The 25,492-nt window shown below is 41.5% G+C and overlaps 2 annotated features.

The window, feature by feature from the left end:
* Window positions 8,633-9,343: an enhancer, noted in NCBI's record as "H3K27ac hESC enhancer chr19:28660168-28660878 (GRCh37/hg19 assembly coordinates)". NCBI's record gives its function as "activates a minimal SCP1, AML or CMV promoter by ChIP-STARR-seq in naive H9 embryonic stem cells {active_cell/tissue: H9 hESC(naive)}" and the evidence as "EXISTENCE:reporter gene assay evidence [ECO:0000049][PMID:30033119]".
* Window positions 9,344-10,053: an enhancer, noted in NCBI's record as "H3K27ac hESC enhancer chr19:28659458-28660167 (GRCh37/hg19 assembly coordinates)". NCBI's record gives its function as "activates a minimal SCP1, AML or CMV promoter by ChIP-STARR-seq in naive H9 embryonic stem cells {active_cell/tissue: H9 hESC(naive)}" and the evidence as "EXISTENCE:reporter gene assay evidence [ECO:0000049][PMID:30033119]".

The raw sequence follows: 25,492 nt of genomic DNA, 5'->3' as shown, positions 1-25,492 counted from the left end.
CAAAGTCATTCTCCGTCCAGCTTTGTTCCGTTGCTGGTGAGGAACTGCGTTGCTTTGGAGGAGGAGAGGCTCTCTGCTTTTTAGAGTTTCCAGTTTTTCTGCTGTTTTTTCCCCATCTTTTTGGTTTTATCAACTTTCGGTCCTTGATGATGGTGATGTACAGATGGGTTTTTGGTGTGGATGTCCTTTCTGTTTGTTAGTTTTCCTTCTAACAGACAGGACCTCAGCTGCAGGTCTGTTGGAGTACCTGGCTGTGTGAGGTGTCAGTCTGCCTCTGCTGGGGGGTGCCTCCCAGTTAGGCTGCTCGGGGGTCAGGGGTCACGGACCCACTTGAGGAGGCAGTCTGCCCGTTCTCAGATCTCCAGCTGTGTGCTGGGAGAATCACTGCTCTCTTCACAGCTGTCAGACAGGGACATTTAAGTCTGCAGAGGTTACTGCTGTCTTTTTGTTTCTCTGTGCCCTGCCCCCGAGGTGGAGCCTACAGAGGCAGGCAGGCCTCCTTGAGCTGTGGTGGGCTCCACCCAGTTGGAGATTCTCGGCTGCTTTGTTTACCTAATCAAGCCTGGGAAATGGCAGGCGCCCTTCCCCCAGCCTCACTGCCGCCTTGCAGTTTGATCTCAGACTGCTGTGCTAGCAATCAGCGAGACTCCGTGGGCATAGGACCCTCTGAGCCAGGTGCAGGATATAATCTCCTGGTGTGCCGTTTTTTAAGCCGGTCGGAAAAGCTCAGTATTCAGGTGGGAGTGACCCGATTTTCCAGGTGCCCTCTGTCACCACTTTCTTTGACTAGGAGAGCGAACTCCCTGACCCCTTGCGCTTCCCAAGTGAGGCAATCCCTCACCCTGCTTTGGCTTGCGCACGGTGCATGCACCCACTGACCTGCACCCACTGTCTGGCACTCCGTAGTGAGATGAACCCGGTCCCTCAGATGGAAATGCAGAAATCACCCATCTTCTGCCTCACTCACGCTGGGACCTGTAGACCGGAGCTGTTCCTCTTTGGCCATCTTGGCTCCTCCCTCCAAATTTGACTTAGTTTTTAACTCAAACTGCCCATAGTTTTTTTGTTTTTTGTTTTCCCCTAAGAATGAACAGAAAAGTCACTGCCTAGGGTTTTATGTGGAAGCAGGAAAGTATCTTCACTGATTATAAATAAATGAACTATATAAGTCTGGGACCAGCAGGCAAGAAGTGGTTAACACATGCAAACTAGGTAATTGAAGAGGGTTTAAGGAAAGAACTATTTACAAAAGTGTGAGTAGGCTTAAATAAAATTAACAAAAGATGGCATAGAACCCCTGAGCTAGCAACAGTGAGGAACACTGCTGTCCTGAGGCCTAAGGGGCAAGGGAAAGGGTGGTTACAATGTACAGCCTGGTGGATTCTTCTTGCCCACTGCCCAGAGAAAAACAATACACTGAGACAGTAGGTGTTACAGCAGGGAAAGAGTTTAATAATTGCAAGAGAGCCAAGCAAGGAGGACAGGAGAAATCTCTCAAATCTACCTTCCTAAGAACTTAGAGGCTGGGATTATTAAGGTAGTTTGGTGGGCAGGGGTCTAGGGAATTAGAGCTGCTGATTGGCTAGGGATGAACTCATAGGGGTGTAGAGTATTGATTGTCTTGCACTAATCCAGTTTCTGGGTTGGGCAGGGGTGTCAGCCTGTTGAATCAATTTCTTGGAATGGGCCCTTGGTCCAGTCAGTGCCATTTGGTACAGTGGTTGACAAGTCTGAAAAATATTTTGAAGAACAGTCATAGGTTTTACAATAATGATCATTGACTACAGTAAGAAATTCTTCTTCAAAGGTTTAGCTTGTTTAAGTTTTCTTGTCCTTTGTTCCCTGATTTCAAGGCCAGACTTCCTTACTCTCTATATTCCCCCAGCCCTGGTAAACAACATTCCTGCCAGTCCTTATCTATAGAGCCCACATTCCACATCTGCTACCCACTCTGTGAATTACCCCTCCCAATGCAATGACTTCTCCCACTGAAACTGATCTTCTTGTCTTCCCACTGCTGATGTAACTACATTTCTGCATTTTTCAAGTTAACCAACCAGGTTCAGCTTAGACTGTGTGGTACAACTCTAGCCAATGGAGGCAGACACAGTAACAGTGACAAGCAGCGTTAAGAGATAATAAAAACCCCTGCTCTGTTTTGTTCTTTGTGCTCTTTCCATTGCTCCACATGGGAGAAGCACCCTTCTGCAGAAGAAAATTTGCCTTGCTGAGAGATCCTTTGTCTCAGTGCTGGTTCTTCTTTGTAGCACTAAGCATTTGTTTTCAACAATGATGCTATCTATAAGAGCAATTAGGAGAAGTTACAGCCCTTGTGACCACTGGCTACATGGCTTCTGGGCAGTAAGCAATTATGGGATGAGCTTAGAAACAATGGCTGGTTAACTTTTAACTATGCCTGCAACTTTTACTCTGTGGTCCTATGTTAACTGTTATATAGGTGGTTTCAGCCAAATACCTGATAACATTAACTGAGCACTAACAAATCAAAATGGCTTGTGGAATTGGTTTTGGAAAATGCTTTCAAATTAAATTTCACCAGAGTTGGAATAATTTTGACCAAAGCATTTTTACTTATAAACATAGGGTCAAAGTGTTCTTTTGTTGAATCCAGTAGATCAAAGTCTTGCAATGCCCAAGATAAATGAAAAAGAGAAAAGAGCTCAACCCATTTTCCAGACACCACATTCACTGGTATAAAACATATGGTTGGCTGGCCATAGCAGCCAGGTACCCACCAATGTTCAGGTCTCTGATAGAGTACACAGAACTTAGGCAGAACAGATTTTAGGATCAGGCTTCTAAGCCTAGAGTTTTTACACCCAAAATATTTTTATTAATGCCAGGCACTGTTCCATGCACCGAATATAGCAAAGAATAAAATAATGTTCCTTCCCTCCTAGAACTTACATTACAGTTGGTGTGGATGGGTGGTGTAGACAATCACCTTATTATGAGTTGGGTGGTGAAAAGAGAGAAAAAGAAAACAGTATTGGAGATAGAAAATAATGGGGGTGCTATTCAGATGATATGGGCCAGGAAGGCCTCTCACATAGAGTTACATTGAAGCAAACACCTGGATGAAGGTGGGGAGTGCATTAGTCTGTTTTCACACTGTTATAAGGAACTACCTGAGACAGTAATTAATGAAGAGAAAAAGTCTAATTGACTCACTGTTCTACATGGCTAAGGAGGCCTCAGGAAACTTACAATCATGGAGGAAGGTGAAGGGGAAGCAAATACCTTCCTCACATGGTGGCAAGAGAGAAAGAGTAAGCGGGGAACTGCCAAACACTTTTAAACCATCAGATCTTGTTAGAACTCCCTCACTATCACAAGAACAGCATGGGGGAAATGACCCCCATGATCCAATCACCTTCTACCAGGTCCCTCCCTCAACATGTGAGGATTACAATTCAAAATGAGATCTGGGTGGGACACAGAACCAACCCACATGAGGGAGTAAGCTGTGGGGCTCTCTGAAAAAAGAGAGTTTCCACAGAGGGGACAACAGGAGCAAAAGCCCCACTGCCTGAGCTTACCTGGAGTATGGAAACCACAGGGAAGCCAGCAGGGCTAGCTATAGGACATGGGGTGAAAACGGAGCCTCAGGGGTGTGGGGTGAGGGCCAATCGTGCGGCACACTGTGGGCATTAGAGGGCCTTGGTCTGTGCCAGGTTTCCCTGCTAACTCCTCCTGAGCTCCTCCTTCACCCTAAGTTTCCTTGTTTGTGCAGAGGGAATAATCGTCTCGAACCTGCCTTTGTCACAGAGTGGCTGGGAAGTTTGGGGGTCCCAGACCCAGCCTCAGCCTTCACTCCTAGTCTTTGAAATGACTTTGGAAAGAAATTCGGGAAAACTGAAAATAATTTCTTTTCTGCTTTTCTCTTCCAATGGCTGTTCTCTGGTCCATGTTCCCTCTCCCTTGCTCAGAAGATGTGCAATTGGCTGGCCAGAGAGGCCCCCTGGATGCCAGCCCAGCCCGAAGAACAATGCCTGTCTCCTCCCATCTCTACCTGCTTCTGTTTTCCAAGGACATTTTAAACAAACACACACACACACACACACACACACACATTATATAACTATAAAATTATCTATTACATATAATTGAATTATGTGATTATAGTTATGAATAAATATAAATTATAGTTATGAAAAATATAAATTAATTTTTAATGTATTTATGTATATAACTTAGTGTGTGTATATATAATAAAGAACAACATATGGAGTGTTCACCGTATCAGGTACCGTGTGACTGCTTTGAGACATTTCTTTATTGAATTCTAACAAAAACAATCAGTGAGGCAGAAGTTACAGTAATTTTGATTTGATAGGTAAAAATATTACATCTCAGGGAAGCCGAGAAACTCATCTCAGTCCCTGAACCAGACGCAGGGGCTCTGATGCAGACCCACTGGGCGTGCCTACCTCTGAACTGCCTTTTTGGGGAGTCTCGGCTCTACCTCGGGTCCTGCACTGCAACCTGGGAATATGCTTGTGCATGTCAGTAAACCTACTGATATTATTACCACTCTTGTGATGCTGTGGTCAAGACCAAAGCTAGGCAAGGTTGAATTCAAGGCAGTGCTGCTCTATAACGAATTCATAAACTTGAGCATGACCTGTGGTTTCTACCAAGCTTGATTTATATTTAAGTTTTGTTTGGCTAATTGGCTCCAAAAAAAAAAAAAACCTTGTGATTTATCTTTTTTTATTGCTACACATTTTTCCACAGCATGGTATAAAGATGCCATCAAGTACATTTTCAGAATGGTAATACATTTATGAATGGTGGAATTTTGATGGTATAATTGAGGCTGAACTAAAATAATATGGTTCAAGGGAGAAATTTGGAGAAGAATATTCAGAAATGGAAATTTCTGTGCAGCTGAGCATTAATGGCATTTAATGTTCAACAAGTTAAATGCCGGCTCTTCCAAGGGTACTTTACATGTCTCTAGAATGCTGGAAATATCTGTGTGCTACTGGTCCTTTCTCCAATGGCTAACTAGACATTTGCTCATTCTGACCTTGAATATTGTTCATGAAAATGCAACTGAAAAGTACATTTAGAGATGACTCTTGAAAGCTTTTCATAAGGGCCATTTAAAGGAATAAAAGTGATTTTATGAATTCTCAATTTCACACTCTCAGCTAAATGGAGAGCAAAATTCAGAGATAGCCCTCAGGAGTGGAGAAAGCAAAGTGTGCCCTTCATGGCTCCCCTCTCTCCCATTGTCCTGACCCCTGTCCTGGGGGTTCCCTCATGCACTGCTCTGGCTGTCTTCCCCTTCACTCCCTTCAAAAACATACTGCCCTCTGCCCCATCTCTGCTAGGGCCATTTCTAGCATGTTCCTAAGATTATGCTAGTTATTAGCTCTCTTTTCACACAGAATTTAGAATCTATTAATTATTTATCGATTTTGAGTCCCACAGTACTCCAGCCATGGTTTGAAGGACAGATGTAAAAGTATCTGGAATGATTGGGAAGAGAGGGAATGAGACAAAAGGGTGGTCATCTGCTGACTATGAAGTTACCCAGTGTATTAGTGTATTTTGTGTTGCTAAACAAATACTTGAGACTGGGTAATTTATAAAGAAAGGAGGTTTATTTGGCTCATGGTTCTGCAAACTGTACAATAATCATGGCACCAGCATCTGCTCAGCTTCTGGTGAGGGTGCAGGAAGCTTTTACTCATGGCAGAAGGTGGAGGAGGAACAGGCATGTCACATGGTGAGAGAGGCAGCAAGAGAGCTGGAGGAGGTGCCAGGCTCCTCTAAGAAATCAGCTGTTTCATGAACACATAGAGTGAGAACTCACTCATTACTTTAGGGAGGGCACCAAGCCACTCATGAAAGATCCACCCCCATGACTCAAACACCTCCCACCAGGCCCCACCTCCAACATTGGAGGTCACATTTTAACCAGAGATTTAGAGCAAACCCATATCCATGCTACAACAACCAGACTTTGGACTTCTGGGGCCATGAGGCGTTATCACAGCCTGATGAGAGAGAGAGACGAGAGTTCCTCCCGTGAAAAGTAGGTGTTCTGCCATGAAAAGTAGGTGTCAGGGAGGAGACCCATACTTGGCCTGGTTGGAGCAGTTGGGCCTGGATGCTAGATGCTGAGGCGTGGGGAGCTCTGCACTGGTCATGGTGGCTGGGGTGAGCTGTCTCTGGCAATGTGGATGCAGGCACTGGAGAAGATCCTGAGGCGTGTCTGGGCTCTGCTTCCACTGGCCATTGGCAACCTAAGCACATGTCATTAAACCCTGAGACCCCGAGCCAACACAGGGGCTTAGACATGTGGGGCACCCCGGCAGAAACTTGCTGTCAGCAGGGACAGCTGACGTGGGTAGAATGAGGACGTGGAGCCAACAACATCTATTCTGAAGCACACGGGAGGTGACACAGGGAGGATGACTCAGAGCAAGTGGAGCACGTCTGCAGTTGAATGGATGAAGGGAATGCGGGGCATAGAAACAGTGGAATATTATCCAGCCAAGAGAGAATGAAACTCTGTCATTTGCAACAACATAGATGGAATTGGGGGATATTCTGTTAAATAAAATAAGCCAGAAACAGAAAGGAAAATATCATAGGTTCTCACCATTTGAAGGAGCTGAAAAAAAAATTGCACTTATGAAGACAGAGAGTGAAATGATGGTTGCCAGAGGCTGGGAAGTGGGGGAAGGATAAAGAGGGGAAGGTTAGGCCGGGCGCGATGACTCATGCATGTAATCACAGCACTTTGGGAGATGAGGTGGGAGGATCATTTGAGACCAGCCTGACCAACATGGTGAAACCATGTCTTTACTAAAAATAGTAAAAATTAGCTGGGCGTGGTGGTGAACACCTGTAATCTCAGCTACCCAGGAGGATGAGGTAGGAGAATCGCTTGAACCTGGGAGGCAGAGTTTGCAGTGAGCCAAGATCGTGACACTGCACTCCAGCCTGGGCGACAGAGTGAGACTGTCTCAAAAACAAACAAACAAACAAACAAAAAACAACAAAAAAAGGGAAAGTTAATGGATTCAAAAATACAGTTAAAGAGAATGTACAAGATTCAATATTCAGTAGCACAACAGGGTGACTATAGTTAGCAATAATTTATTGCATATTTTAAAATAACTAGAACAGTGGAATTGGAATGTTCCTAACACAAAGAAATGATAAAGGCTTGAGGTGGTGTTTGCTCCGATTGCTCTAAGTTGATCATTACACAATGTGTGCCTGTATCAAAACATCACATGTACTTTATAAACATATGCTACTATTATGTACCCATAATAATTAAAAATAAATTTAATAAAGATTACACTGATCCTCTCAAAAACAAAAGAAGAAAAAGAAGAAGTAGAATGCAGAATGCAAGAGAGAGGAATGAAGTCATAATTTTCAGCACAGGGATGAATGGGGACTCATGGCATCTACTGACTTCTAAATTAGTCTATTGACTTTTAAATTAGTACCGTTTTATTTTATGGTCACAGAGGATACCACATTTTCATCTTTTACCACATTTTCTTTATCCCATTCAACACTGGTGGACACCCAACTTGATTCCATGTCTTTGTTATTGTGAATTGTGCTGCAATGAACATATGAGTGTATGTGTCTTTTCGGTAGAATAATTTAGTTTCCTTCGGGTAGATACCCAGTAATGGGATTGCTGGGTCCAATGGTTGTTCCATTTTTACTTCTTCGAGGAATCTCCAAACTGCTTTCCACAGTGACTGAACTAATTTACGTCCCCACAATGGTATATAAGTGTTCCCTTTTCTCTGCAGCTTCACCAGCATCTGTTGTTTTTTTGACTTTTTAATAATAGCCATTCTGACTGAACATCAACATTTATAAAGACTGGCACATCAGAGTCTCAGCCAGGCTCCAAATGTAATTTCTGGCATCAAAAAAGAAGTACTGATGGAAATAATCTGTAGTGTGAATGATCAGTATCCACATCTGATGCATGTTATTAGAGCCTTGTATCCCTCCCCACGTGAAGGCCTTCAAGAATCCACACTGTGGTCTCCTCTTTCCTGGCCGATTTCCTCCATTTACTGTTGCACTTCAAGGGTTAATAGCTGCAGATGGGAGAAGCTGAAATACTTACAGGTTATCCCACTGGATACCTACAAGGTTTGTCCTGGGATTATAGGAACCCTTGCCCTCAGCCTTAGTGACTAAGGCAGGGCCTCCATGGCTTTCCAGGTTGTGCATGTCAGCCGCACACAGACCCATGTCTGCAGGGGCGGGGTCATCTACTTATAGAGCAGGTGCAAGTTTCAGAGCCAAGACATAGGCAGGTGTTCATCCAGAGCTCTAGAGCCTGCTCCCTGGTGAACCCGAGCTATACAAGGCTGACTGATGTGTAGGGCTGGCCAGATTACTGGGATGATAGGGGATTTGCACAGAAATGACAGTGGGGGTTGCTGATATTGGCAGAGTACCTCCTGGGCAATGGGAGGAGGGAGGCTGCCTCTTCCAGCCAGGGAAGGGGAGGGAAGGATGGGACGAACTGTACCTTCAGGAAAACAGGGTGGAGGTTTCATTAAGAGCAGAAGAGAAATCACCAACTCCCTCACCAGATAATGGTTTTGACATTTGTTTTGAATTTGCCCAACTGACTTGCCCTTGTGACTGAAGCCAAGAATCACAGACTCTTGGAAGTGAGCAGAACTAGCAAAGCAAATCACAAACAATTTGTTTAGCATTTCCTCTGTGATTCCCCCATATCCCGACAACTCTCCTGGAGTACTCCCCATACACTGCAGGAGGCTTATCTCCTTATAAAGTAGCCCCTAGAGGGAAGCTGTGCTTTTTAGGAAACACTTCCTATGCTGGGCTGAGACCCTGCTCTAGAGCCAGATTTACTCTCTGAAATGGTGTAATGTTTCAGCACAGAGGCTTAGCCTGAGAGCTGTGACACAGGAGGCTTTGAAGAGGGCAGCAGGGGAGGGGGCTGCTCGCTTCCTTGTTTCAGACTCTGGGATTTAACCCATAAAATCACTCCCTAAAGCTCATTTTGGTTTTGGTTCATGGCAACAGATTTCCCAGATGAGGAATGAGCTCTAAACCATTGGCTTTTCTCTAATTATATATCAGAGGTCTGTCCTCCATGGGCTTCTCTAAATCTCCTGTGTTTTCTGCACTGAGGAATCCTCTGGTTGCAGATGCTAGGTGCAGCAGAGTGGCATTCCTGTGACTTAGAGGTGTTGCAGTCAGATTCCACGGCGGGGAATGGTGGTGCTGGACCCCTAGGGACTTGAGCTCAGTCACCATGCCCTCTCATCTCTACTCCTCTCTGCATCTCAACTTCGTTGTTTTAAGTTGTTCATTTTTGCTTTCATGGAGGAAAACATGGTTGCCACCCTTACCTTGCAAGAATCTCTTTCCATGGCTTTATTTCCAAAAGTTCCAGGGAAAAACCTTAATTGACATGGCTTAAGTTACGTGTTCACTGCAAAGCAATTGCCTTTAGCCAGGCAGTGTGATCCTGCTGTTGCGATTTGTATCATTATGGTTTCCTGTTTTTTTTTTTTTTTTTTTACAAACAGGAAACCATAATGATACAAATCACATAACTCTTAAGAGGGTAAGAGGGTCTTACCCTCTTAAGAGTGACCATAAGCCAAGAGAGCCATCTGTAGGAGCACTCTGACCAGGGGGATGTTGGGCCTGGGTGTGTCTGTCAGATGAAACACACTGAGGAGGTGAAACCAAAATGCCTGAAACAGAAGGAATTCATTACTTATAAGTCACAGAGAGGTTCGAGGTGTTGCTGAGAGGACAGCAGGAGGTCTGGAGGAGGCAGGAAGCTCAGACAGCAGGGAAGAGAGAGGCCTGAGGCCTGTGAGACTCTGCCTTTGTTAAATTCCTGGGAGTTTTTCAGACTCTCCTGCAGGGAAGCTGCAGGTTGGCTCCTTTAAAGAAATCATGCGTGAAGGGGAGCTCATTTCCATGACTCTGGTGTTGATCATTGGTTTTCTCATGGTCAGTAGCTGTGGGTGTGTTAGATTTTTGGTCAGTGGGATGAGGAACAAGTGGGTTATGCTGCAAACAACCCCATGGGTAGGGGAAGTTTTAATTAGGCCCAAAGTGACACATGGTACAACCGGGTTTCAAATAACTTTTATTAGGACTAAAAATGGATACCAAGACAGCAACTACATTAAACAAATGAATGACACCCGCTCTGCCTTGAGCCTCCTTATTGTAGCTGGGAAGGAACAGTTCTCCAGAAAAGTAGAGGCGCTTCACTCTGGACCAAGCAAATAGCATATGCCTGCTGCAAAACCCCGAAGGGGCAATCACTGGGAGGCTCCAATGTCTACTTCATAAAATTCCTTCAGCTTCTCATGCTGCAACTGTCTACGAAAAGGGAGCCGTAAGGAAAACAGTCTCAAAGACTGGATGTGCCAACAACCTCTAATTACTGCAAAAAAGGACACAGTCCCTCCACAAATGCCAGTCACTTCTTACTTCATCTAAATACAGCATGCTTAGTAGAACTAAGCTCTGTCAATCACATCTAGGAATCAGAAAAGAAACCTAGGAAAATAGGCATCGCTAAACCAGTGAATTGGAGCTTATACTTTTTCTATGACTAATAATGCTTATTTTATATGATGCTTAAGAAGCTAGATAATTCTTCAGCACATGTGAATATGCTGGGCTCTGTGCTAGGCACCAGGTGCAGAGAGGACAATAAAATGGACCTGGAATTTTAGTTTAGTGGAGGAGACTGGGTAGTAAGGCATCAATGTTCATAGATAATAATAAGCACTGTGGTGCTTTGGGGAGGTAAAACTGTTATCTGCCTCCCAAACACATACGAATAAAGATAGGGACCAGGTGCAGTGGTTAAAGCCTGTAATCTCATCACTTTAGGTGGCCAAAGTGGGAGGATCACTTGAGGCCAGGAATTTAAGACCAGCCTGGGCAACATGGTGAAACCCTGTCTCTATAAAAAAAATAAAAATAAAAAATGAAAAATTAGCTAGGCCTGATGGTACGTTCCGTCTGTAGTTCCAGCTCCTCGGGAGACTGAGGCTGAAAGATCACTTGAGGCCAGGAGTTCAAGGTTGCAGTGAGCCAGAATTGTGCCGCTACACTACAGCCTGAGTGACATAATGAGATCTTGTCCCTTAAAAACAAAACAAAACAAAACAAATAGAGTTTGTTTGATTTGGATAGACTGAAGGATTAAGAAGTGAGTTGATAACATGGGAGGAGGCAGAAGAGCTATGAAAACAGGCACAATAACTAAAATAAAATACAACAATTGGAGCCCTGTGGTGCTGGAGCAAAGAGTCTAGGCATCTTAAATACCCAGAGAATTTGACCATGGCTCCTCGGATGCAGCTTTCTTCAGGGCTAGACTAGAAGTCAGGGTGCTAAGATTCAAATCATAGATTTACCACCTCAAACCATGGTCCCTCCACCTCTCTGGGTCTCAATTTACCCATCTAAAAAATGCATGGGATAGACTATCTAATGTCTGATATTCTTTAATTGTGACTGCATTCATAATGATGACCTTGTGTTCAAGGTTAAACTATGTTCAGCTTACTCTGTGTAGGAAGGAAATGTATAATCAATTTGAGAAAGGCTCTTATCCAAAAAGAATTGATTATACGTTTGCTAACCTACCGGTGTGGAATAAGACAGCATAAATAATAAGCACATGTTTATTGAATGCTGGGCACTGAATGGGGCAATGAATTCACAGTCCAGGGGAGGGTCAGGTGGGTGATCAGGCAGTTATAATGCAGAGCTGTGCCTCAGTGGAGGTAGAGAAAGAACCCATGTCATGGGAATGTGGCCGATGGAAAGGGGTGGGTGGGAGCATCGAGGAAGACTTTCCAGGGGTGGTAGCATCGATCTTGAGACCTGAGAGGTAAACTGAGCTTGTTTGGGCAAAGGTAGAAAGTGGGTAGAAGAGCTCCAGGTAGAAGGAGAATCAAGTTTTATGGAGGCGTGTTGGGGCATGGTGTGGTGTGGAGTGGAAGCCTGGGTGTGATTCCCAGAGGCCTTTTACACTGTGGCCAAGAGTCTGGCCTTTGCTCTGGATGATTTGGAGAAGGGGAAAGAGCTTACATTCTGGAGAAGCCACTCGTATTTACTGCCTTTTCCCACCTGACTGCCTTGCACTCCCACGCATCCCTGTTCTCCAAGCCTGTGCCCACTCCCCTTTGCATCCCACCTGCACCTGCGATGGCCTCCTCGGTGGCTGCCTCCGTTTGTTCCCACTACCCTTTCAGCCATTCTCCAGAGCAGAGCCAAACTCACTTCTTCCAACTCATCCTCATGCCTTCACCATCCTCAGCACTCTGCGGTGGTTTTCTGCCTCGGTTAGGATGAGTGTAAACCCCTAGGTGCGGCCTGTGAGTCCCTGCATGGCCCAGCTCCTGCTACTTTACCAGCCCCTCCTTGAATGAACTTCTCTTGACTCTCTCCACTGTGGTCATGGGGGGGTCTCTGAAGTGGTCTTCTGAGGGTTCCTTCATGTGTTTCACAAAGGCCCGTCTGGTGAAAATAAGAGATTGTCTCCAGTGTGAAAACAACATTGACACTGAGCTTGAACCCAGTGCCAACCCTCAAGGGCCGTGACACATTGGCGAGCTCTTCCCCTTTCCAAGTTTTAGTTTCTTTATTTGTTCAATGAACATGTTGGACAACATCCAACAAAAAAGTTTAAACTATGTTCAGCTTACTCTGTGTAAGAAGGAAATATATAATCAATTTGAGAAAGGCTCTTATCCAAAATGAATTGATTATATGTTTGCTAACCTACCGGTGTGGAATAAGAGAGCATAAATAATAAGCAGATATTTATTGAATGCTGGGCACTGAATGGGGTAAGGAATTAACAGTCCAGGGGAGGGTCAGGTGGGTTAAAAGGGACATTCCTGATCTCTTTTAGCTCTTACACTTTGTCAGTTTTTAGAGAAACATTCTATTTTTTTCATAGACTTCTAATAATGCTGTTTTTTCTTGTATGAAATTTAATCTCCAAGATTCAGTCCAAATCTCACCACATTTAATATGTTTAACTGCAATATATTGGTGTCCTTTCTAGGGCACAGGCCAGAGGCAGGTGCTGGGGAACAGAAGGCAGTGAAGTCACGCTTGTGCTCTCAGGGCTGTTCTCGTCTCTAAGTGATCAGTGCTTCATTCGTATTGACTGCCCCCTTCCAACACTCTATACTGTCTTCCTGTTCCATGTATTAGTGCCTTGATTACATACTCTCTTGATTTTATAATATCTAATACAAATTATAATATATAATTATATAATATATTATATATAATATTACATTATATATCATAAGTCAATTTTTTTCCTCCAAAAAAACTATAACATCAACAAGGTCTGCTTTAATTTTTAAAAAACATGTTCCCTAGAGCTTGCTGGTTGTGGAGTAGAAATGCAGTGAACACTGGATAATGAATGGTCTGTGGGATCAGAACCATCGGACTCTGCTTCTACCTACCTTGTGGTGGGACCCCTGCAAGCTCAATGTCTTTGTCACTCAGGCAAGAGCCAGCTTTGTCTCTGAGTATGTCTACACCTTTTAGAAACTTCCTCTTTGTTCTGGATGAAGCCACTTCTGGGTTGTTTCTAGGGAGCCCCACAGGCTCCTCAGGGGTCAGCCAATGGGTCAGAGCCATGGTTGTCCATCTCAAACAAGCAGTGACCCTTCCCTGATCAAACACCCTTAGTGCCAGCTTAGTGACTGGTGTGTAGGCTCCTCAGAGTTCTCATTTTCCTAAGACTCTAAAGCCCTTTTAGCTACACCTAAGTGACCTTAGTCATCCTTTTCTGAGTTCTCAAGCAATCAAAGAGCAGGAGCTCTAACTAATTGTTGCCTTGAGATCCACTCCACCTCTCTCTCCAGTCTTCTTCCAGGACCACCAACCATGCAGGGATTCTGCTATTGTCTGTGGCTTTCAGCTGTCTTTGAATTAGAAATAGAATGAAGACAACAAATGATATGAAGAGAGTGGTTTGTCCATTTGAGGGCATTCCTGGACTGTGTTCCTTTCCACAGGGAGGGAGAAGATCCCATAGCAGCTTTGCAGTCCCTTACTGATTTATGCTCTGGAAGATAAGACACGCTTTGCAAGATTCAGCTGACGCAGACCTGCTGTGGTGAGTGAGATATGCCAGCTCTCTGATTTAAATGCAACTTGATGCTGTACAGCCCAGGGTACAATTCCAGTATCCACCAAGAGATAACAAAACACGGAGGTACATATGTGCAGGTGCAGAAAGCCCACAGAGGCTGAACTCACTGGGTATTAACCATAGCTGCAAAAGGTGTAGAGGAGGCCTTGTTGTGATTTTGAAGGTGAGCATGAGGCTGAGCCCCCTGGAGTTGGAGAAATGGTTCAAATCTGTGCTGAGCAGAGCAAAGAAAACACATCTATTACCCCTTATGGGACATGCGATACCTAGTTCATAAAAACTTATGAAAAAAAAACATGTCTTAAGTTCAAATAACTCATCTCATTGTACAACAAAATGGTTTTCTGTGTTTTATCCTTCAAAGACGACTGAGTTTGCTGCAGTGAGTCTGGTGCATGCATATTCACTGGAGGAAAATTTACTAACAAATAAATTTTGTTATTTCTTATTGTTCATTCCTACAGAAGCCAACTGTTTCTTAAAAGCAAAAACACACAAAATAGTCAAGTCAGTTATAAATTTGTCTTTGTTAATATTCATGACATACAGGTTAAAATATGAGTTTCAAGTTGTTGTTATTCCCCCAAATGTTCAAGTAATTAATCCCCCAGTGTGTTGAGATGTTAAATAGTCACAGTCAGCAAAGGCTGCAGTACTGATTTTGACAATGGGCTCAGCTTTCTCTCTGGACAAGCTGTGACGCTCTTCTAGTTTGTTACCTGGAAATAGTAAATGAGAGAAAGGTTTTAATGCACAGACAACAGCCAAGCTCCCGTTTCTGCTACAAGTTTGGCTCATTCAGGGTAAAAGGTCAACAGTGCTTCATATTTCATTTAGGGGAAATAGATAACATAAAAAGTTCGGGTTGCTTTCCTCAGATACTTTGTTACATTTATCTTTATTTTTTTTCAGTCATATTACTTTCTTTGTCTTGCTGGAAAGAAGTGCAAAATACCTAAGGAAACCTCCTTGTGGCCTCCATTAACCCCAGCTAGCACCTACCAAATCAGCAAAATCCGAAATATGATTTAAATAAATTATGCTTAAAGAAAAAACGTTCTTTTTAATTCCTTACTTTTCAAGGTTTACACAAACAATGAGAACAAAAAGAATCAGTAAATGGTATACAAATGTCATTATAATTTTACTTATTCTATTTTTTTATCAAGAGGAAACTATGTGTTCCATGAAAATTTTTAGTAATTATGCTTAAGAGTTTATCAAATGGAAAAGACCATTCTAAAATTCATGTGAAATCACAAAAGATCCAAATGAACAAAGAAATCTTGGGCAAAAAGAACAAGCCAGAGGCTTCACATTACCTGATTTCAAAATATACTACATACCTATAGTAATCTAAATAGCATGGTAATGGCATTAAAAACAGACACATAAACCAGTGAGACTGAATAAACAGCTGAGAAATAAAGCCATACATTTACTGTCAATTGATTTTGACAAAGGTGTCAGAAACACACAATGTAGAAAGGCCAGTCTCTTAAATAAATGATGTTAGTAAAACTGGATGTCTATATGTAGAAGAATGAAATTAAACTCTTATTTCACACCATACATAAAAATCAACTAAAATAGATTAAAGACTTAAAAGTAAGACCTGAAACTGTAAAACTACTTGAAGAAAACATAGGAAAAAGCTTCTTGACATTGGCCTGGGCAATGGTATTTTGGCTATGAACAAAAAAGCACAGACAACAATAAAAACATAGACAAATTTGATTAAATCACACTAAAAATCTTCTGCATAACCAATAAAAAATCAATATAGTGAAGAGACAACCTGCAGAATGGAAGAAAAATATTTACAAACCGTACAACTGATAAGTGGCTAATATCCAAAATATATAAGACCTGAAACACCTCAATAGTAAGAACATAACCAGATTAAAAATGAGAAAAGCCTATGAATAGACATTTCTCAAAAGAAGACATACACTTGGCCAAGAGGTATATTTAAAAATGTTCAATGTCACTAATCATCAGAGAAATGCAAATTAAACCCACAATGAGATATCACCCCCTACCTGTTAGAAGAGCTATTATCAAAAAGAGGGAAAGTAACAAGTGTTAACAAGGATGTGTGAAAGGGACCCCTTGCACACTGTTGGTGAGCATGTAAATTGGTGCAGCCATTATGGAAAACAGTGTGGAGGTTTCTCAAAAGTTAAAATAGAACCACGGTATGATGCAGCAATCTCACTAATGGGTGTACATTCAAAGAAGATGAAATCAGTATGTTGAAGACATATCTGCATTCTCATATTTATCAAAGCATTATTCACAACAGTCAAAATGTGAAATCAACCTAAGTGTCTATCAGTGGATGAATAGATAAAGAAAATGTGATATACATACAGACACACAAGGGCTCTTCAATAAGCTCATGGAAAATGATTACTATGAAAAAACAATCATGTATGGATTTCAAAATATTTTTTTGCAACAAAATAAACTCATACCTAATATGTGTGAACAACACTTAGTAGAAGAATAAGGCATGAGTTTGAAAAGAGCCCCTATCTGAGCAACATGAAGTCTGTTAAAATTGAAGCAAAAAAATTACATTTATGGTTAAGTTTGGGTCAAAGAAGGATGAAACCATAGGTGATTTACAAAAAGTTCATGGGGACAATGCCCCCCCAAAATTAGTACTTTTCAAATGGATACCTTGTTTTAAGAAGGGATGAGACATGTTGAAGATAAAGTATGCAACAGCAGACTATCCACATCAATTTGCGTACGTAAGCAATAATAAAAAAAATTCATATTGTTTATGCCATAATTGAAGAGAACCAACAATTAACAACACAAACAATAGCCAGTGCCATAGAGATCTCATTCGGTTCAGCCTACACAATTCTCTCTGAAAAGTTAAAGCTGAGCTGCCTCTTGGGTTCATGTGATTCTCCTGCCTCAGCCTCCCGAGTAGCTGGGATTACAGGCACCCACCACCACACACAGCTAACTCTTGTATTTTTAGTAGAGACAGGATTTCACCATGTTGGCCAGGCTGGTCTCAAACTCCTGACCTTGTGACCTGCCCACTTTGGTCTCCCAAAGTGGAATTACTGCCGTGAGCCACCACACCCAGTGAGTTGAGCAAACTTTCTACTTGATATGTGCTAAAACTGTTGTGCCCAGGTCAGCTGCAGACAAGAGCAGAGTTTTCAATGAAACATATAAACAAGGGGGATAAAAATTCTGAAGCATTTTTTCAAAGTATTGTACCCGGAGATGAAGCATGTCTTAATGAGTATGATCCTGAAGACAAAGCACAATCAAAGCAATGGCTACCAAGAGGTGGAAGTGGTCCAGTCCAAACAGAATCAGACAGCCAAGAGCAAGGGTCATGGCAACAGTTTCCTGGTATCCTCAAGGCATTTTGCTTGTTGAGTTGCTGGAGGACTAAAGAGCAATAATATCTGCTTGTTATGAGAGTGTTTCAAAAAAGTTAACCAAAGCTTTAGCAGAAAAATGCCAAAGAAAACTTCACCAGAATCCTTCTCCACCACAACAATGCTCCTGCTCATTTCTCTCATTGGCAAGAACACTGTGGGGGGAGTTTTGATGGAAAATCATTACACATCCATCTGAAAGTGCTGATTTGGCTCCTTCTGACTTCTGTTTGCTTCTTAATGTTAAAAAGATCTGTAAAGAGAACCCACTTATTTTCTGTCAATAATGTGAAAAAGACTGCACTGACATGATTAAATTTCCAGGACCTTCAGTTCTTTAGAAATTGACTTAATGGCTGATGTCATCAATTACAAAGTTAATTGAACTTGATGGAGCTTACATTGAGAAACAAAGTTTATATTTTTAATTTTTATCCTTTAATTTAATTTTTCACTAATTTTTTGAAGTTCCTCTGTGTGTGTGTGTGTGTGTGTGTGTGTTGTGTAGGCGTGTGTCTGAAATACTATTTGGTCTTTAAAAAGAGCCTTAAAAAGAAGAAAATTTTGGACATGGATAAATTTTGACTACACTACGTTTAGAGAATAAGCCAGGCACAGAAAGACAGGTACCACATGATCTAACTTATATGTGGAATCTAAAATAGTTGAACTCATAGAAGTAGAGAATAGAATAGTGATTTGGGGCTAGAGTTGGTAGGCGTGTATGGGGAGTAGGTTGGAGAGATGTTGATCAAAGGATACAAAATTTTAGTTAGACCAGAGGAATAAGACAAAGAGATCTATCATACAACATGGTGATTTTAGTTAGTAAAAACTTACTATATTCTTGAAAATTGCTAAGAAATAGATTTTAAGTGCTCTCACAACAGAAGGAATGATCAGTATGTGAGGTAATGTATATGTTAATTAGCTTGATTTAGCCATTTCATAATGTATACATACTTCAAAACAACAATTGCAGATGATAAATATGTACTTCTTTTTAAATTTAAAATAAAATAACAAGCCCTATTCCATGTTAAAAATATAAATAAAACTTCTATTTGCTTCTTTAAAGAACATTAATCATGCATACTTGATGATGGAGTCTAAAATTAATAAGTATTTTCATCTTCAACTTAAATGGTTAAAAAATTTAGAAAACTTTATCTCTGGCCTATTCCCACCATACTTTATGTTATTGTTCACCAGTGTTTCAGTTCTAGCTAACTTGTTAAAAGCTAATAATATTTCATTATTACCACATAATACATGTGTGTTTATATGTATCTACATATGTATGTAGGTATATATAAACAATATGTAGTACACATATGCAATATTATATCTTATATACATTCTCTTATATGCAATGCACTCTTTATTGCTTTTAATATTTTTCTCCTTGTTTCCAATGTTTGGCAGTTTTCCTATGATGTGTTAGACACATGCACACACACACACAACACATACACACACAACATACACACACATTTACATTTGTCCATCTATTTGCCAATTTTTTTTTTATATTTGTCCCTTACACTTATTTTTTTCTTTCAGGTTTTATTTCCTATTACTTGAAGGAAATAGTCTGACAGTTCATTCTTTGAGACCCTGCACATAAATAAAAACTCCTAATTTGTTTTAATCTGAAAAGTATTTTGTCCTTACATATGAATCATACTTCAGCTGGGTATAGAATTCCAGGTTAACAATAATTTTTTTCTCACAGTTTGAAGATGTTATACCATTATATTTTAGCCTTGGTTTTTGCTCCTGAGAAATTTCACTGGTTTCTTTTTGGGGGGAGATTTTCAACTAATGACCAATGAAAGTTGATAGATAAATAAATCAACCTGGCTAGGTATGGTTTCTCACCCCTGTAATCCCAATGCTTTGGGAGGCAGGAGGATTGCCTGAGGGAAGTAGTTCAAGACCAGCCTGGGAAACATAGAGAGACCTTGTCTCTACAAACAAGTACAAACATTAGCAGGGTATGGTGTTGCATACCTGTAGTTATAGTTATTTAGAAAGCTGAGGTGGAAGAATTCCTAGAACCCAGGAGTTTGAGGTTTCAGTAAGCTTTGATCACACCATTTCACTCCAGGCTGGGTGACAAAGTGATACCCTATCTCAAAAATAAATAAATATGAATAAATAATAACTAAACCCTCTTGGGGCAATGGTCTACACTGTCTCCCAGAGTTGGCTTGGAAATTTTATTTGCTTATAATTTTTCCTTGCTTAATATTGTACCTTTTATTTGCTTCCTTCCCTTCTATATCTCACTATTCTGTTCCTTCCCTTCATCTTCTCCCAATTGAATTATTTGTACTCACAGACTCGTCTCAAGATCTGATGGTTGGGGAGCCCAAGCTAAAATGCTTATAGGTAGCATCACCTAGCTCCATTTCCCTCTTGCTTCCAGGTGAATTTAGACAGGATAATTCAGGAACAGATTAGAGAGTGGAGGGAGAGAGGGATTTTGCACACTATAATATCTGTCAGGGCTTTATCTCTTTATGACTGCAGCTCTGTGGCTCTATTAATTACCAAACTTGAGTAACATTGTTTCTTCTACCTTGGCTTGAAACCTGAGTTATAGGTCTTACAACTGTTGCTAGTCTCACGGTTCCTCAATGTGCCTTGTTTTTCCCTCTGTCAGTTATCAATTTATTGCCTCTCAGCCCAAACGTGCAGTTCTGTAGCACTGAACATAAAACGTGCAAACAATTCTCCTTTGCCAGCTCATTCAGTATGAAACTTTATTAATAGAGAGCATTAAAGAACACTTCATGGCCATGCATATTTTTGACACAGTGAATGGGAATGTGGGAGGCATGAAGACATTCTCTTCAGCAGTCTTCTAGGGACCAGCTTTGGCCCACCCACAGCCTCTAGCAAGTTTTTCTACAAGCCACTGGGCTCTTAGTTTGGACCAGCACTTTCTGAAAAGTTTTTCTGTCACCTGGTGGGCTGTCCTATGACCAGCTTCAGCTCGCTCCCTCTGCTGCAGGCTGCATGTGGTGGTGGCCAGGATCTCTTCAAAAATATCTGAATCTCAGCTTCGAGAGGCTGGATTATTCTGCTAAGGCTGCTCTGACAAAATGACATAGACTGCAGGGCTTCAACAAAAGAAATTTATTTTCTCATGTTTCTAGAAACTGGAAATCCAAGCTCTCAATGCCTGCAGTGTGAGTATCCAGTGAGGGCTCTCCCTTGGGGTCACAGACGGCTGCCTTCTCTCTGTGCTCACATGGCCTTTTCTCAGTGCAGGTGCATGGTGGGAGGATGAGTGCCAGTGCATCTTCTTACAAGGACACTAATCCCATCAGATCAGGGCCCCACTCTCATGCCCTTAATTTACCTTAATTACCTCCATAATGGCCTTGTCTTCAAATACAGTCACATTGGGGGTTGAAGCTTCAATATATGAATTTTGAGGGACACAATTCAGTCTATATCACAGGCCCTCTTTAAGCTGCCTCTTTGTTCACTTTCTCTCAGGCAACAGGTGGCAGCTGCTTTCTGCATTTTCTTTCAGAACCCTTGAGACTTATTTTACTTCTTTGTGAAGAAAGTCACTCTTTCTAGTTAACAATTCTTTGTATCAGCTTCCCCTGCTTCAGTTACTCATGTAGTTTCTTTCTCTGACTGGACCTTGTCTGGCACCCCCACCTTTGTAAGTAGCCTCTGTTAAATTTCTTCAATTCCAACTGAGTGGACTCTCTATATCTTTTGGGGATCTTGGCTGATATAAATTATTTTACCAAATCTGGCTGATCACCAGGCAACTCTAATAGTAAGGTCACAGTTTATCCAAAATTATTATTTTGTTCTCTCTGATGATTGGTTCCAAATCCCCCATCTCCTGTTTTGCATCAGCACCCTCTACATAGCCCATCTCCCTTCCTACACTCCAAGGAGCTCCATCCTTTGAGGTCTAATCACTCAATTCCATCCTTTTTACTTTGAGTTTACCCCCAACCTTGCCCCACAAGACTGCATGAGGCCCATTAAGAAAACCGTTGACTTACCACAACATTATGTGTGCGTCTTTTACAAGAGGAGAAATAATCAACACAGAGACAGAAGTCTTTAATGGTGGAATTTATGGTGGGCTGGTAAAAAGTGCCTTGGGGAGAGTCCTTTTTGAAACTACTTTGGTTCTGCTTTTTCTTTCAGGTGTCCAAGCGAAAGTTAATGGAAGTGTAGGTCTACATGTGCAGAGAATCAATAATTAAATTTAAGCCCCCCACACCTATGTTTTGCTTGTTTTTTTTATTAGAACAGTTGGCAGATTCTTATCAGTGAAATTGATATTTGATTAGGTTATTACCCAAGGCCACAGAGAGAGTGAGTGGCGAGAGGAGTGGTGGTTTTCCAGGCTTCTGATTCTGCCTAGTCCCCTAGTTCATGCTGAAGGATGTAATTTTAGGGACAAGAGAAAGTTCAATTGAGGAATTTTGTTTTTAGTGCAGTGGTTGTTTATTCTAATTAGAAATTTGCTTCCCAACAATTTTCTCTGCATGTTTAAATTCAGCTTTAAAATGTATTTCTTTCTTTTTATACTAAAAATTCCATTAGATTGTTAAAAATTACACGTTTTATGAGAAAACTTCTATTTATTTGGGAAAAATAGAAATATATAGAGTGATGCAGAGAACAGAAAAAGATCGGACAGTTCTTATGCAAAAATAAGTGAAAAAGTTGAGAGAGTATTTTATATAATTTTTATGTTTTTTCACTACTAATATTGTTGACAAGTATTTTTCCATGTAATAAAAAATGTTAGCACAATTTTAGTGACAGGATCGATGTAATTAAAAATGTTACAGATGAATTATCCCCATAAGCTTAGCTCTAGGGGTGACCCAGGCAAGGCTTTTGGGTGGGAAAATTAGACAATCTATTTTCACTTAAAAAATCATTTGGGGCTGTTGTGATTTAACCTCTTTGGCCAAGCTCTCCGTTTGGGAGAGAAGTGAGGTCAGCATCTTTTCCTGGCATTGAGAGACCAGGGAATTTTCTGGCCAACATCCATGGGAGAAATCTGACTGTCATACCAGCAAATCTGAAAAGAAGAGGAGGAAAAATTGTGCTGGTACTGAAAGGATGATGGTAGAAAGATAACTAAGAAGCTCGTGTTTGCTTCCAAGGGACCTCACTCCCCTCTTGCCCAGAATAACAGCAGATGAGCATTTCCCACGCTGCCTCCACGGTACTGGGAGGAACAAGTGGGGAAGCCAGGCCTCCCAGCTTGGAAGATACGGCTCTCTGAGTTCCTTTTCCAAGTGTTCTTTATTCTCCAGGCATTGATTCTGTTTAACATTTTGCACATCTTAAGGTTGCAAACAGAAGGAAATAAATGTGGAAATGCTTTTAACAGTGTTATCCACAGAAACTATCCTTTTCTTGTCATCTGAGCAGTTCTATTGCTACTGCTTCTTCAGAGACTGTAATTTCTGTTGATGTCTGTCTATTCTTGACATTTTTGTCTTATTAATGGATCTATTTCTCTTGTTTACTCCCCCTTGGCCTGAAAGTTGATAGACAGATGCATGCATTCCACTTGAAGTCTTTGCGGCCTTCTTGCATCCCCATTGCTCTAAGCAATAGTTCATATATAAGAACTGTCACCAAAGTAATATGGTCCTGCTTGTTGTGGTGTGTGAGGTGCCTGGAGGCCTCTTCTACTCACAGTCCCATGCAGTAAACATGAGTGGAATTTTAAGAAGGACATAAATTACTTTTCTAAGTTATATTTTAAAGTGGATAGAGTGAAAAAGAGAACTCCTGTTTCCCAGAGTTATAGCCTGACCCAAAGCCTGTGGATTTGTGTGATAACCTCTGAAATGTAATAACCCCTGACACTTGCTTTTTAAAAGAGAAAATTCACATTCTCCTTTTCTCCCCACCTTCAGGAAATATATATGTATTGGTTTTGCTATGAAATTACAAGTGGAAAAGAAGTTTTAGATTGACAGATTAACTCTTGGGAAAATTTTTAAAAAGCAACTCTTAAAATAGTCTTTCTGGCAAGCTGAGAATATAGCCTACTTATAAGGCCAGTGAGGAATATTTTTAAAAATAATTTCAGCCTTTATTTTAGATTCAGCGGGTACATGTGCAGATTTGTTACATAGGTATACTGCGTGATGCTAAGGTTTGGGGTATGATGGATCCCATCACCCAGGTAGCGAGCACAGTGCCCAATAGGGAGTTTCTCAACCCTTTCCCCCAACCTTGTATTCCCCAATTTCTATTGTCATTTTTATGTCCGTGAGTACCCAGTGTTTAGCTCTCACTTATAAGTGAGAACGTGTGGTATTTGGTTTTCTGTTTACTCGTTAATTTGCTTAGGATAATGGCCTCTGGCTGCATCCGTGTTGCTGCACAGAACATGATTTAATTCTGTTTTATGGCTGCCCAGTATTCCATGGTGTACATGGAATTATTATCCAGCTTACCACTGATGTGAGCTTAGGTTGATTCCATGTCTTTGCTATTGTGAATAGTGCTGTGATGAACACACGAGCATGTGTCTTTTTGGTACAACAGCTTCTTTTCTTTTGGATATATGACCAGCAATGGGATTGCTGGTTCAAACGGCCATTCTAAGTTCTTTGAGAAATCACTGAGGAGTAATTTGGATGTTATTGTTACTACCTTTAATTTGCATTTATTTAATGATGAGTCATGTTGATAGCATTTTCTATGTTCATTGGCCATTGGTTTATTTTCTATAGCACTGTGAATTTTTTTCTTATGTAATTTAGTGCTGTTAAAATCATTTTATTAAAAGTGTTTAATTGCTAATCTATGATTAGAAAAAAAAAGCCCTGAAAACTAAGTGAAAATTGAGAATCTAGAGTGAAAAATGAAGTCTTTATTCCATTTCTGTTCTCCAGATCTCCAGTTTTGCCTCCTTCCTGGTGACCACTGTTATCCATTTCTTGTCTTTATAGTGTCTTAGAGATATTAGGCTTCCAAGTCTTCCCTTTTACTCCTTCATCTGGCTTTGTGGAGACAGAAGCCAGAAATGCTCAGTAAATTTGGCTGGGCTACGATGGCTTTGGCTACCATGGCCACAGCTGGAAAACTGGAAACGTTGGCAATTTAGCACAGTTTTTACTTTGTGCCCACATTCCTTCCTTGTAGCTCCCCGGTGTCTGCCATCAGGGGTGCTAGCTTGACCTCACCAGTTTGGTAGGGAGGTTGCAGTTCTCACCCTTACTTGAATTTTGGGCTTTTCTTCAATAGCTTGTTCTCCCTGTATTATCGAGGTCTTCTTGAGAAAATCCCCTACATGGGCACAGGGCCCCAGACTCTATAGAAGGAATTTCCTTCTCATTTGAAGTGCAGGGAAAATGACAGGTGTAAGAAGGGTGCTGGGAAAAGTGTAGCAGCATGCTGATATAAGGGCCGTAGAAAATTTCCTACAGGGGGAAGTTGTCAATTAGGTTTATCTCTAGGAAGACTTATGTCTGCAATCACATTCATGATTTTGTTATAAGCTCTGTGCTGCAGTCACCCAGCATGCTTCCAAGCTTTTATGAAAGTGTGGTGCTTTTGGGGAATGAAGGAAAAGGATCAGTCCTCAGGGTGAGAGAAGCATGTCAGTGTGGAGGGTGGGGGCTATGGAGATCAAGGCTGTGTTAGTCAGCTCAGACTGTCATAACAGAATACCACAGGCTGGGAGGCTTACGTGACAGAAATTTATTTTCTCACAATTCTGAAGACTGGAAGTCTCAGATCTTGGTGCCAGCAGGGTTAGAGTCTTGTAAGGGCTCTCACTCTGGATGGCAGGCAGCGGCCTCCTCAGAGTCCTCACACGGCCTTTTTACTGTGTGTT

Source organism: Homo sapiens, chromosome 19 (assembly GCF_000001405.40).
Source record: "Homo sapiens chromosome 19, GRCh38.p14 Primary Assembly".
In the NCBI taxonomy this organism is placed as follows: domain Eukaryota; kingdom Metazoa; phylum Chordata; class Mammalia; order Primates; family Hominidae; genus Homo; species Homo sapiens.
The sequence above is the reverse complement of the archived record's forward strand: the minus strand, read 5'-3'. Positions and strand labels throughout refer to the sequence as shown.